The 13,235-nt window shown below is 36.2% G+C and overlaps 2 protein-coding genes across 3 annotated transcripts in view, besides 1 other annotated feature; one reads left to right on the plus strand and one right to left on the minus strand.

The window, feature by feature from the left end:
* TBPL1 (TATA-box binding protein like 1) overlaps nt 1-9,984 on the plus strand; it is a 38,259-nt gene extending 28,275 nt beyond the window's left edge. For both annotated transcript variants that reach the window (NM_001253676.2, NM_004865.4), the window contains exons 3-7: nt 2,120-2,202; nt 2,369-2,432; nt 3,928-4,031; nt 4,129-4,223; nt 6,513-9,984. In NM_001253676.2, the coding sequence (NP_001240605.1) occupies nt 2,120-2,202; nt 2,369-2,432; nt 3,928-4,031; nt 4,129-4,223; nt 6,513-6,592 (426 nt within the window). In that variant the 3' untranslated portion in view covers nt 6,593-9,984. The remainder of the gene's footprint in view (nt 1-2,119; nt 2,203-2,368; nt 2,433-3,927; nt 4,032-4,128; nt 4,224-6,512) is intronic.
* Nucleotides 3,017-3,186: an enhancer, noted in NCBI's record as "experimental_90037 CRE fragment used in MPRA reporter constructs". NCBI's record gives its function as "activates a minimal promoter by MPRAs in K562 erythroleukemia cells, with activity observed for both the introgressed and non-introgressed 6:134304688 variant alleles {active_cell/tissue: K562}" and the evidence as "EXISTENCE:reporter gene assay evidence [ECO:0000049][PMID:34662402]".
* SLC2A12 (solute carrier family 2 member 12) overlaps nt 7,133-13,235 on the minus strand; it is a 65,044-nt gene continuing 58,941 nt past the window's right edge. The window contains exon 5 of the mRNA NM_145176.3: nt 7,133-10,860. Within this exon, the coding sequence (NP_660159.1) occupies nt 10,707-10,860 (154 nt within the window). The 3' untranslated portion in view covers nt 7,133-10,706. The remainder of the gene's footprint in view (nt 10,861-13,235) is intronic.

Here is a 13,235-nt window from a genome sequence, read left to right on the forward strand (position 1 = left end):
GTGCTGGTACCTGAATCAGCAAAGAACTCATTGGTTACAGAGACATTTTATTGCTCTCTCAATTTATTTTAACTGAAGAAAGGGACCTTTATATTCGCACATGTACCTATTCAAATATGATTATATTTGAATTATATTTGAATGATGCCTTAATATATATTATAATTTTTATAATATTTTAATTGTCATATTCTTTAACAAAGGTAGATGGTTTTCTTTCATAACAAACTGCTGAAAATAATATGATTTATATCTTAACCTGGACATCTTAAATTTTAGTTTTTGTTAAACCTGTAATATTTTAAAGCCTGAATATTAATAAGTAATAATAAAACCTTAGTGTTTTGAGATTAACATTATAAAAGACATTGGATGTCATTATAAACCAAAGATTGACGAGAGGAATATGTATTTTACACATTTGTTATGAAAATTAAGAATGTATCTCAAGGCTCTATTTAGCTTTAAAAATTAGATGCCAGGATACCTATGTAAATTGCCATTAATTAATTAATTTTTTTTTTTTTTTTTTTTTTTTGAGACGGAGTCTCACTCTTCCGCCAGGCTGGAGTGCAATGCAGTGGCATGATCACAGCTCACTGCAACCTCTGCCTCCCAGGTTCAAGCAATTCTCCTGTCTCAGCCTCCCAAGTAGCTAGGATTACAGGTGCACACCACCACGCTCAGCTAATTTTTGTATTTTTAGTAGAGACGGGGTTTCACCGTGTTGGCCAGGATGGTCTCAATCTCTTGACCTTGTGATCCACCCACCTCAGCCTTCCAAAGTACTGGGATTATAGGCGTGAGCCACCGTGCCTGGCCGTCATTAATTCTTAGTACTAGAAACTAAGTAAAGATGAATTAAATTCAATTAAAAATTTCAGTGACTCACAAAGATTTTCAAGTTTGTCAGCAATCCCATCCTTCCTTTAGAAAAGTAATAAATATGTCTGCTCAAAAGTTTAGAGAGGAATATGCCTAACACTGCTTTGGTACTTCAGCATGACATATGGAAAGGAAGTAGTTTTTTTAAGGCAGGTTAATTGAAAATTCTGAGTTGATAGACAAGCTGGTGATGGTGAGAGACAATTAAATGTAGGATAAACTCAGTCAAGTGTTTCTCAGTCACTTGTATATGAAATTTTATAATGTATTTTAGTTCAAATTTTATCTTGATCTTTGGTGAATTTTGAGTCTGCCCAGATTTAATAGCTTTCTAGTTTGATAATATGGCATATGACAGAGAATGAAGAACACAAAATGTAACAAAAATTTTAAGCAGAAACATCTGATTCATTTATGTTAGTCAGTGAGCATTTATGTCTTTCTTACATAGAATGAGCATCTAACAAATATTTCCATTAATGAAAAGTTGGAATGAAAATTTAAATTTGCATATTTTCTTGGAGCTTAGTCCTTGACCTATTTATACACACTCTGTAGTTATTTCATTGTAACCCATAGCTTTAAATGAATTTCCAATTACATCTCCAGCTCCAACATTTCTCCTTTATTCAAGATGCCGATGTTGAACTTGAGTATGTAATAAGCATCTCAACTCTAGGATGCAATATAAAGTAGTGATGGGTACCATGAAGCAGCAGAAAGCAGAATTAGGAATTAGAAAGCAATGAAGGGATGGGTGTTTCAGGGAAATGATTAGGGAGGGCCTCTCTTCAGGAGGTGACATCTGGTAAGAGACCTGAATGAAGTGAGAATATTGAGGGGATAATATTCCAAATGAAAGCAACAGCTACTGCAAAGCTTCTGAAGCATGAACAGATTTGGTGTGTGTGAAGAACCATGCAAGTTCCAGTTATATGACTGGGGTGGAATGAGAGTTGAATTGTTTATATACTTGGAGTACATTGATTTCAAGTATATAGAGTGAGAGATTTCTATACACCTTGTATTTTTAATTAATCAAATGTCTTTTTGGATTAATATGTTCTTTGTGTTTGGTATTGTACTTGATTTCAGAATGGTAGATTTGGAGAGCAGTTATTGCAGTCTTGGATAAGCTTGGAGAGTAGTATTTGGACATTAATATGACTATATAGAACAGAACCTTATGTGAAAAATAATGCTTATGAGGTAATCAGATTTTTTTTCCCCCCAGAAAGTATTAATGAAGCTTAGAAAACCTAGAATTACAGCTACAATTTGGTCCTCAGGAAAAATTATTTGCACTGGAGCAACAAGGTAAATGCTACTTGGGTTTTTTGTTTTTATTTTTTACTTTTTCCCTCATGGAAAGGACATTTTCCTAGACTTAACAGCAAAATCATATGTAAAGTTTGTTATGTTCCTCAGTATAACATTTATTTCCTGTGTAACTGATAATCTTTTTCTTTCCTTAAAACCGTAGTGAAGAAGAAGCTAAATTTGGTGCCAGACGCTTAGCCCGTAGTCTGCAGAAACTAGGTTTTCAGGTAACGTTTTCAAATAGTATCTAAACTACAAATATTCAAGGACTTATTTTTATAGAATTAAAAATTGTAATAGACTCAAGAAATCACTATGCGTACTATTCTTATGATTAAACTTTTTCTAGGTTTTTTAATACTGCCCTTCAGTGTGAAAATTAGTAGCAAAATTTGGCTATGTGGGTATTTGTAAAGGATCCTAGCTTTTTCCCTAATTCCTTTCCCATAAAGAGACTTGTTTCCTCACAAGTTAATTTCCTTTTCAACTCTTTTTTAAGTGTTTTCACCTCTGACGTACACAAACAAAATGGTTTTTGGTCATCTCAAGAATGCCAGGTCAGAATGGTGAATAGAGAATGGCAGAGGCCGTTGACATGGACACACCAGCTGGCAGGCTCTCACACTTGTAACGTGACTGTCACTGGCATGTCAGCCTCATCACTATAACTTGATAGAGGTATACCTTTGAATAAAACGATTACATATTATGGACTTGCTAGGTCACTTGCAAATGATGAATAAATGAAAGATAAAGATGAGAATGGTCCCTGAAGATGAGGGCAAGGCTGTTTGGGATTGAGACAAGTTTGTAGAAGTGGGGATAGGAAGTTACCTTTCCCTCTGATGACTCAGTCTCTCTGAAGTAGAGGGTGATAGGAAGAGACTGAACGGCTGGTGGGGAGTGGGGGTTGGTGCTTGAGAAGGGTGGCAGTAGAGAGAGGCTTGAGTTGTACTGTGATTTGAGAGTGCTGCCACTTTGCGGTTTCCTGGCTTTGCGCAACTGCTGTGTGCAAGGCTGAGTTGAAGGATAGTTCGCTCACCCAAAATTGTGGTTTTAGGAGGAATGTTTGAAAAGATAATGAGATGAAACGAAGATGTTGGTTGGAGTGGCCAAAGTTATTAATGTTAACAGCATTATTTTCAGCCTTGGAACTTCTTTTCTTAGTGTAACATTAGAAGTGTTGAGAGAAATCCCAATTAGTTAGAAACAAATTTATCACTCTATCCCCAGAAAGAAAATAAACATCTAGCTAATCTCACAGAAATGTCATTTTGCCTTATTGCATATGAGAAAAACATCTGACTTTTGGAGCCCAGTGTACACTCTGTATTTACTGACTTTAAAGTGACATCTTTTCCATTTTTACTCTAGCAGGATGACCTGGACTTAAATTTTTTTTCCCTCACTATTCTCTCTCCTTTCTCAGTAGTTTTAAATATTTCACTTAAAGTATTAAAAAATTAAACATATGATTAGAAAGACCCATACTGTTTTGATCATGCAAATACCTCAGTTTTTAATTTTTTTAATGGAGTTTTTGAGCTTTTTAAAAAACTGAATTAAAGCTTTCCATGCTACACAACTTACAGTACTAAACATACACTTAAAATGTTTTTGTTTTATCTTGTTTGCTCTTGTTTTTAAGGATTGCCATTATGAGCAGATTTTTTGTTTGTTTGTTTCAAAATAAATTTATTGAATTTTACTTCTCTCCTAAAGGTAATATTTACAGATTTTAAGGTTGTTAACGTTCTGGCAGTGTGTAACATGCCATTTGAAATCCGTTTGCCAGAATTCACAAAGAACAATAGACCTCATGCCAGGTAAGTCTTTGAAGCAATTTATCTTGAGAAATTACCAAATTTGAAATTACTAGTCAGGGTATAAATATTTATATTAATTGTGGCTTATTTTGTGTAGTTACGAACCTGAACTTCATCCTGCTGTGTGCTATCGGATAAAATCTCTAAGAGCTACATTACAGATTTTTTCAACAGGAAGTATCACAGTAACAGGTATTCTATGATATTGAAACCACACTTATCAATTATGGATTGAATGATACAAGATGCTCATACCAAGATAGAAATAATGTGTGATTTGTTCCTTTCAGTCACTTCTGCCCTTTAGAGGAACCAGTCTCCTGACTTTTAACACTAGATGCATTTTGCCTACTTTTGTACTATTTATAAATGTTACACTTACTATTTTGTGTCTTTTTTCACTCAGCATTATCTTAGTGAGTTTCATCTATATTATATTCTATGTAGCTGTATGTAGATCATTCGTTCTTATTGGGCATTTGAGTAGTTTCCAGTTGGAGCTTTAAAAATATTCTGGTAGGCCAGGTGCATTGGTTCATGCCTGTAAGCCCAGCACTTGGAAGGCTGAGGCGGGCTTATCACAAGGTCAAGAGATCAAGACCATCCTGGCCAACATGGTGAAACCCCGTCTCTACTAAAAATACAAAATATTAGCTGGGCGTGGTGGTGAACGCCTGTAGTCCCAGCTATTCGGGAGGCTAAGGCAAGAGAATCATTTGAACCCAGGAGGCGGAGGTTGCAGCGAGCTGAGATCGCACCACTGCACTCCAGACTGGCAACAGAGTGAGACTCTGTCTAAAAAAAAAAAAAAAAAAAAAATATATATATATATATATATATATATATATATATATATATACACACATATATTTTCTGGTATATGTATCCATAGTATGATTTTTTTTTTGTAAATTCATGATATCTTACATTTAAAATTCTCATGAGAAACTCATAAATTTCACAGAGGTTTTACATAAGCAAAATATTAAATATAATTGGTACCTGTTTGTTATGTTTGTCTTGCTATATCTTTTAATCTTTATTTGGAGAAAGGGTGGTTTCAGAAAACTAGGCATTCATGTCAGAGAGTAGCATTAGCATGCTGTGTGACATTTTAATGGTACTATGATTATAAATTGTACAGAGGCATTGCTTGGGAGTCAGGCCCAACCTTAGGCAAAAAAGAATTAAAGAAAATGTCTTTAATGTCCTTGAGCTTTGTTTTTTCTTTCTTCAATCCACAGAGGAAAATAATTTAGTCTCTCAACAAATAAACTTTAGTTTTGACTCATCCCATGGGTTTTTCCATCTTCCTTGGGGACTTTCAAAACGTATTCCCAAGATCCCACCTGCATCTTAAATATGGGATGATAGGAGACGAGTCTGTTTGTTCCCTTCTTTCAGCTCTCTGTTTCTACACTTTGGAGCATGGATGTCTGAGAAGCCACAAAGCCTATTGAACAATCTCTACTAAGTATATAATAAAACAATGCATATGTAAAACTCTGTATTTACTGAGTTACTAGATATTAAACAAAACAATAACAAACTGAAGACAATTCACCTGGTTAAGCAGTATGCATTATTTACTTAGATCAGGAATAGCCTATGAAATGTTACTGAATTGGTTCCCATGAACAAAGCATAGCAAGGTGGGGGTAAAGTGAGTCAGGAAGGACCTGACCAAGATAGGATGTGTGGTTAGGACTTTCAGAGAGTTTACAGTGGGTGGATTTGTTAGTTTCCTGGGTCTTTCAAAAGAGGTTAAGTGTGTATTGGTGAAGCCATTTTTATTCAAAATTTTATGAGAATAGTTTTCATTGTCCTTTTTTATGTTTCTTTTTAGCGATTTAAATGAAAGATTACATTTTTATAAAGTTGTTCAAGAATTAGCATAATGCATGGTCACCTCGTAGCCTTGTGCTTTTTTTGTTTTCTATTGACTTGTATACGCTCTGAGGGTGAAATGACCAGATTGGTAATAAATATGTGGATACCCAGTGGTGGTAAATCTGTGGGGATTTTTAAACCAGCATTCTGGTTTCCCAACATTTTGGTAGCAGCTTTGTTTCACTCTGCTGTGTTCCTCCATATCCCTGAGCCTCTGTTGTAGCCTAACCAGAAGCCAGATGATAGTGACTTAAAGGATAGCTGTTATTTAGTCCCATTTGTTACTCCTTCCTTTCATGTACATATTATATTACAGTGCTTTTTATATTAGTCCATGATAGTTTGTATGCCCTAAAACAAAGTGAATAACCTCATTTTGTGTTTCATATGTCCTTTAATTGCCCAGAACAAAATCTGTATTACTTTTACTTATTATGGCTATGTGTATAATTATATGTCTAGTTTTCTTTTTTTTAACAGTTAACTTGATATTCTATACCACTTGAATATTTTTAATTCTGGAAAATCAGTTTTTCCTAGTGCTCCCTTTTCCAACTCTTCTCACTCCTTCCTCCATTGTGTTTATTACAGGGCCCAATGTAAAGGCTGTTGCTACTGCTGTGGAACAGATTTACCCATTTGTGTTTGAAAGCAGGAAAGAAATTTTATAATTCACCACTTAATTGGTTAGAATCTCTAACTGAGCACCTTTTAAACCTGCTGCACATTGGACTCAAAAGGAAAACTGGACCAACAATAATTGAGGAAATAGACTCTTTTATTCATTCACGGCTACAGTGTAAGCTCCAGTCCCTTTGGATTTTATTCCAAACCTTGCTGTAATATAAAAGGAAGTTTACAAGACATGATATTGCTGCTTTTACAAAAGGACATTCTATTTATTTTCGCAGTAATTCTCATGTCCCCATAAGCAGAGCTGTCACAGTGTGCACTACCTTAGATTGTTTTATTGTCGTCATTGTTATTTTTTTCCATTTTGAGCTAATGTGTTTTATTTGTGAATAGTCTTTTACATTTTTGTATGCTGAATATGGGCACCAAAGAACCTGTAAAAGTTATCTTTTTCAATTGAATGTGCACAAATAAAAGTTTGGAAAAGATCTCTCTTCATTCTATAACTTTTATTCCCCATTTTCTATTTTAACAAAAATTGTATTCATACTTCTTTTTTTTAAAATCTATGCAAGCTTAAGACTTTGGCTAAAGTGTGTTGGCTTCTTTTTGAAGTGTATTTTGTGTGTGTGTGTGTGTGTGTGTGTATATATATATATATATATGCACCACATGTGTATAGTATCTTTTAATGCTCTGTTACCAAATAACAAATAGGAATTTTTTTTCTTGCAGATTAGAAATAAAAACGTGTATATAAACTCTAGGGAACCAGACTAGAAGTTTATAGATAAAGGATAATGTTTTATGTTGCTAATTTAATATGATAGAAAATGTTAAATAACTTGTAAAGGTTAAGAAATTGTAGTTTTAAGAAGAGAAACCTCTTACCCACTAGATGGAAATGAGAAAGAAGCTGTGATGAATGGTGCCTCATTTGGACCTTTGTTTTTCTGGAAAGACTCAACACCTGTAGTTGTAGAGAAGTGATTGAGGTTCTTGACTTTAATCTTGGGTTGATGCCCAAGCCTATACTAAGAGTCTTGTCAGAAGTTGGTAACATGGAGATGTTTTAACAAGAAGTGCCCATAAGCTGCCTCTGTGCCACAGTGTAATTATCAAATAGCCCCACTTGAATTTGAAAGCCATTTTGTGTGATACTGTCCTTCCCCTTGCTGTATCTTATTTAATGGAGTTAAAGAGTGACTATTCAGTATATGAGATTGCTACTCTTAAAGTTATAATAAATATGCATTTATGAAACAGTGTCTCTGGCTCACCCAGGAGCCCTGATGTGGTAATACAGGATCAAGCTGTAGTTGTGCCCTGTCATTTAGGTTTAGGAGTTTAGTGTAACCAACAGTGATTATACCTAGAAATAAAGCTGAGTGGAGAGTCCAATTAGCTTCTCAGGAGAAACTTAATGGGGACAATATTCCAACACAATGTTCCACAAAAACTTGTATTTCCAAAATGTTTTTAAACCTTTGTGGAAAAATTGCAACATCCTAATCTCCATATATAGTACATTTTCCTTACTGTATTATAAAATCTTGAAAACCTAGCTTAGGCACTGCACTGAACAACACATATTATTTTTATCTTTTTTCTTCTCAATGCCTTCCCTAACCTCCTGCTTATTCCAAAGTGGAAAGCAAAGGCTAACTTACATTTTTCCTTCTTGTGAAATATTTCATTGAGATTTTTAGACTTGTATTTTTCCTTTTTTTTAAAAAAAAAGTGTTTATTTCCTTTATTTTAAGATTCAGTAGGATAGCCAAATTCATAGAGAATAAAATTACATGAAAGAGTTACAAGCTCACTGTTTTAAAGACTTGACATTTTTCATTTAGTTTTAATTAACAGTAATAAGTCACCTCCTGTTTTTCAATGTTCACCAAAAAAAGAAACATAGAATAGGGGGAAAACATGCTTATATAGCCAAGGTACAGATCCAGATGATGTAACCTTTTTAGTATTCGCATGACTTGAAAACTGGGCAGATCAATAGATAATCGAAGTGCTTTATCTGAAGGGAGAGGGTAAAGACAGTGTGACCAGGTTTGTTTTCAGGGCTGCCGAATGAGCCTCACCTAACAGTGTCCATGGGTAATTCGCTAACCTTAACAAAGATGGGAAGAAGTGAGTGCTCTGATGTCTTCTGCTGGCTCTCCATAAGTACTGTAAATTTTTTTTATAAATAAAAACTGTGAATATATATGTACAAGTTGTAAGTATTTCCCCCTTTTTATTTTTGAAAATCAAGAAGCTTGATTTGGTGTGGTGCAATGGATATTGGATAAAAATTTGAAGACAAAATTGTTTAGTTACAGACTCAGGATAATAAAAGAAAAATATAAAAGAATGCTCAAGATACTGAAGTCAAGGTCACTAGTAATAAACTGGCTAGGTTGATAAACAATTTCCTGCCCATTTATAATGAAGGGCTAAACAAAAAATACCTGAAGTATATATAGAGTTTGAACTATAAACACGGAAGGAAACATGGGGCAGAACACACTTCCCTTCTCTTTCCAAAAACAAAAAACAATGCATGCTCTGATTTGCGTATGAAATACACCATGATAGAATTGAGATCTCCAATCTCCTTTCCTTTTAGCTTCCCCCTGCCAATTTTTATACAGATAATACACTGCAGATCCAGGCCTTTTAGTCAGTCTCCTGAGTCTCTGATATAGTTTTACTACTTACATAGGTTTATAGTCTCTCCACATTGTTATAAAGGAATGTAATAGATCATGTTTCCTTATATGACATTGGGACAGTTTGTTAGGAACCAATAGGAAAATTCCAAGCTAAATAAAAAGGAGCTTTGGCTCTTAGGATTCTCTTTTCTTCAGGTTAATCATATTTTAAAATTCTTTTTCAAGTTAGGTTGTTCGTGCTTTTAAGTTTTTTGTGTGTCTTCCATCACTTAAATATTAGTAATTTAATATGTTATTTGGTTCAAGATTTGATTGTGGATTTTCTATCATACCCAAATTTTATTAGTAAGACCTCTTAACAAGTCTTTAAAATCAACTGGAGAAGTAAGAGAACAGTTCATCGTTGTGTGGGTGAAACCCACGTTGCTGGTACAGGTGGCCATCATAGAAAAGAACATGAGGGAATTGTCCTGATGTCTGAATGTCATTTATTGTGTCTTCAGTTATCTGAACATCATCATCAATTATAGCCTGTGTACCGTAACCTGAGGTAGTGATATTCCTGAGGAGTGTGAAGAATTGGACACTGTGGATTACTATACATTGTCATGAAAGCCTTACAAGGAGGCAGCTTTTCTAGGCTTGACTTAATAACTTCAACCTAATTGCTTAGAGATTTGGATAAATAACCTAATGGCCTGACTCCTTTTCTAATGTTTTACTAACAGCTACTTCTAAATAAATATGGTCCCAGGATTTTAAAATTGTCTTTTCTATGCATTTTTTAAAAATGGAAAAAAATGCTCATTTTTCTCAACTATTGTGGAATTATTTTAATATTTCACAATATTAACATGAAATTCATAAAAGGATATTTTGCATTAAATTATAGTTTATAGTTCATAAAATAAGCTCTATAATCTTTATACTTGTTGAATGTAACTAGGAATTACCACTAAAATCCTAGCCAGGACCCTCTCCTAATCTAGATAGAATATATGGGCAGTTGTCCACACTGTGTGTTCTGGTTCTTTTTTGCGTAAGATCCAGTGCAAGTAGTGTCTTGGTAGGCAGAAACTGTACCCTCATGTCCAGACCACTTGTGTGTCTGCATAATAAAGCTGCGACTGGCCTCCATACATACATAGCTTAAGGCGGAGGTTGATGTCTTCACTAGGACATAGTCTATTCAAAGGCTGCTCTGTGAAGAAGGTAGAAAGTATTAAACCAGCCAGTAACTTTTTTTTTTTAACCTGATATCCTGCTCAGAAAAAGAGATCACTTAGGACCTTGTACCTCATCTACCTTTTGAGGTTCCTTCTGGGGAGGAGGGGGATTAAAGGCTGTCTTTATCATTTCAGAGTGTCTCTTCAAAACCAGTTCCATGACACTGAAAAGAGAGCACAGGAGTCGCAACTATGCATTGGTCCAAAGACACCCTCCTAAGTGTTCTGGCACTATCCACGTTCAGAAGGTGTTGAGGCCATTAGGTCTCTGGAGAAAGCTGCCTGGATTGGCCCCTACCACACAGCTTGTTACACTCCAAGAGCTGCTCCTGGGGTTTTCTTTTTTGAGGCTGTTTTGGCACTAATTCTTCTTGGTGATGACTCATAAAACAAATGTTGTTTTTCACATAGTTCCTGAAAGAGAAAGAGGCACTAATGAAAATGTCATTCTTAGTTTACATGAAAAAAATGTGTAGGCTATTATTTTTTAAACCACCCTGGGGCTTTAATGTTTTAGCTATGCAAAAATAAATACACATTTTTATTAGGAATCCTGCTGCATCATGAAATTCAGTATGCCACAGACTTTGGTCAATCTCATGCAAGGGGTAACGGTGTCTTCTCAGAATACAATCCCAGCAGTCAGCTCTGTGGGGAAGGATTCCAAGGATAGTATTACATACAGAGAACCAGTGGAGGTTTCATCCCAGACCTTATTTTTTTCCATTTCTCAAACTCCAGCAATGTGCCTATATTTATATCTCTTCTATCTTCTACGTTATCCCTTACTCCTGCATTAACAAATTTTTCTACAGGATTCTTCCCATCAGCATAAAAAGATGCTATTGTATTTTACCTTTACTAAAAATGAAGAGCTGCCTTTGAACCTCCCTTTTCAAATACCTTTTTCTGTAATTTAACCAATGATTTGAGTGGCCACAATATGTAGGTAGTATGGGTTGAGTAGATAAAGACTTCTGTTTTCAAGGAGCTTACTTAGATTTTAGAGGGGAGACGAGCTTATAACTTGAAGTAGTAAAAGTGCAAATGAGAAATAAACGGGGAAGGAGAAAAAAGGGTTTAGTTGGGTGGGAGAGGACAGACTGTATTATACAGGTGGCATCTCTCTAAAGCAGTGACAATGATCAGAAAATGGAATGAAGTTAGGGAGGGAACTCCTGCAGAGAATCCCAGAGACCTGAGAAGTTGGGGCAGGGAAACGGTTGGTATCTGGAGGGAAATCTGAGGAAGGTATTTTTTCAGGATGGGAAATACTGCAGCTTTGTGCGTGTGTGCGTGATGATAATCCCATAGGAGGGGGAAATTGATGCAGTCAGTGTACAAATGGAAGCATTGGCCTTTGCAACAAGGCAGTGTGTGTGGGCATAGATGTAGGTAGGTTAGAAGATCTTGTGGCAGGAGGACAAGGTGGTCTCAATTTATTTTCTCAGTGAACTAAAAAGCAAAATAATTAGAGTGAAGAAGTGGGAGGGGGTCCTGGAGGCTTGGGAAAAGTATTGGTGTGAAGTAATCATCTTCGAAAGTAGGAACGTCAACTCACCAGGGAAATGTGGTATATTGCAGGGTATTCCTCAAGATCTACTTGAGATGTATGTTCATAAGGTGAAAACAAGGCTTATCAGCATAGTTGTGTGTTTGATTCAGCCAGGTTTAGCTCCTTGAATGCAGGGTTAAAATAAACTAAGAGTTGACTTGGTCAGAGTTAAGGTTTGCCTGAGTGATGGAGGGAGAGAGAAGAGAGTAAAGGGAGAAGGGGAAATGCGAAGAAGTGGCCTTGGTGGGCCATGGAAAGTAGGAAGCAGGGTAAGGAAGGAAGGGAGAGCATGGGCCTCCAGGTCGTCGTGGGGCTGAAGACTTGTTGAAGTGCCAGTACTTGAGGAAGTGGGCTGGAGAGATGAGTGGTTAGAGGGTGAGTGGAATGCTTGTGAATGAAGCAGTGATTGGAAATGAGTCTAGGGCATGACCATCCTGCTTTTCTGTTCCCCTTCACAGCAAAATTGATGTAAGGAGTGGACTGTTGCTTCTTCACTTCACTTCCATTTTGTCCTCCAACCACATCAGTCAGCTTCTGTCCTCTCATTCCGCTGAGCCTGTGCTTACATCTGTCTTTGTGCTTGGCCTCTCCAGTCCCACCTTCCTACAACACTTCTGGCTTTCCTCCAGCCTCACTGTTGGCTTCTTTTCAGTCCCTTTTAACACTCTCTTCTTTGCTCGGTCTCTAAGTTTGGCACAAAACTGGGCCTAGTCCCTTCTCTCTCTGTTCTCTGACCAGATAAGCTTATCTGGCTTCAGGACTTAAATACCACTTATAAGCTGATGGCCACCCACATTTGACTCTAACCCCTAGAGTCTCCAAATTTCAGACTTACGTATCCAACTGCCTACTACTAATGTGTCTATTTGATGTCTAATGGACATCTCACAATATCTCCAAATCCGAGCTCTATTCTGTCCTGAGCCCTGAAACCTAGTCCTCTCTCAGGCTTCTGCATCTCACCATCTGTCCAGTTTCTCAGCTAAAACTTGCAGTGTCATCCTGACTACTTCATTACCTTATTCTTGTATCCATTTCATTCATGTTTTTTCATCTATTCAATGCCGAGCTTCGATTATATGCCAAGGAATTGTTCCAAGTGTTGGGAAACAACAGTGAACAAAATTCCCTGGCTTCATGGAATTTAAATATAGCAGGAAGAGATAGACAGTAGACCAAGTAAAATGTAGTGTTTCTGCTTTGGTTAAAACTGAAGGATTGGAAAGTGGGTGCA

The sequence above is a fragment of the Homo sapiens genome, chromosome 6 (assembly GCF_000001405.40).
Source record: "Homo sapiens chromosome 6, GRCh38.p14 Primary Assembly".
In the NCBI taxonomy this organism is placed as follows: domain Eukaryota; kingdom Metazoa; phylum Chordata; class Mammalia; order Primates; family Hominidae; genus Homo; species Homo sapiens.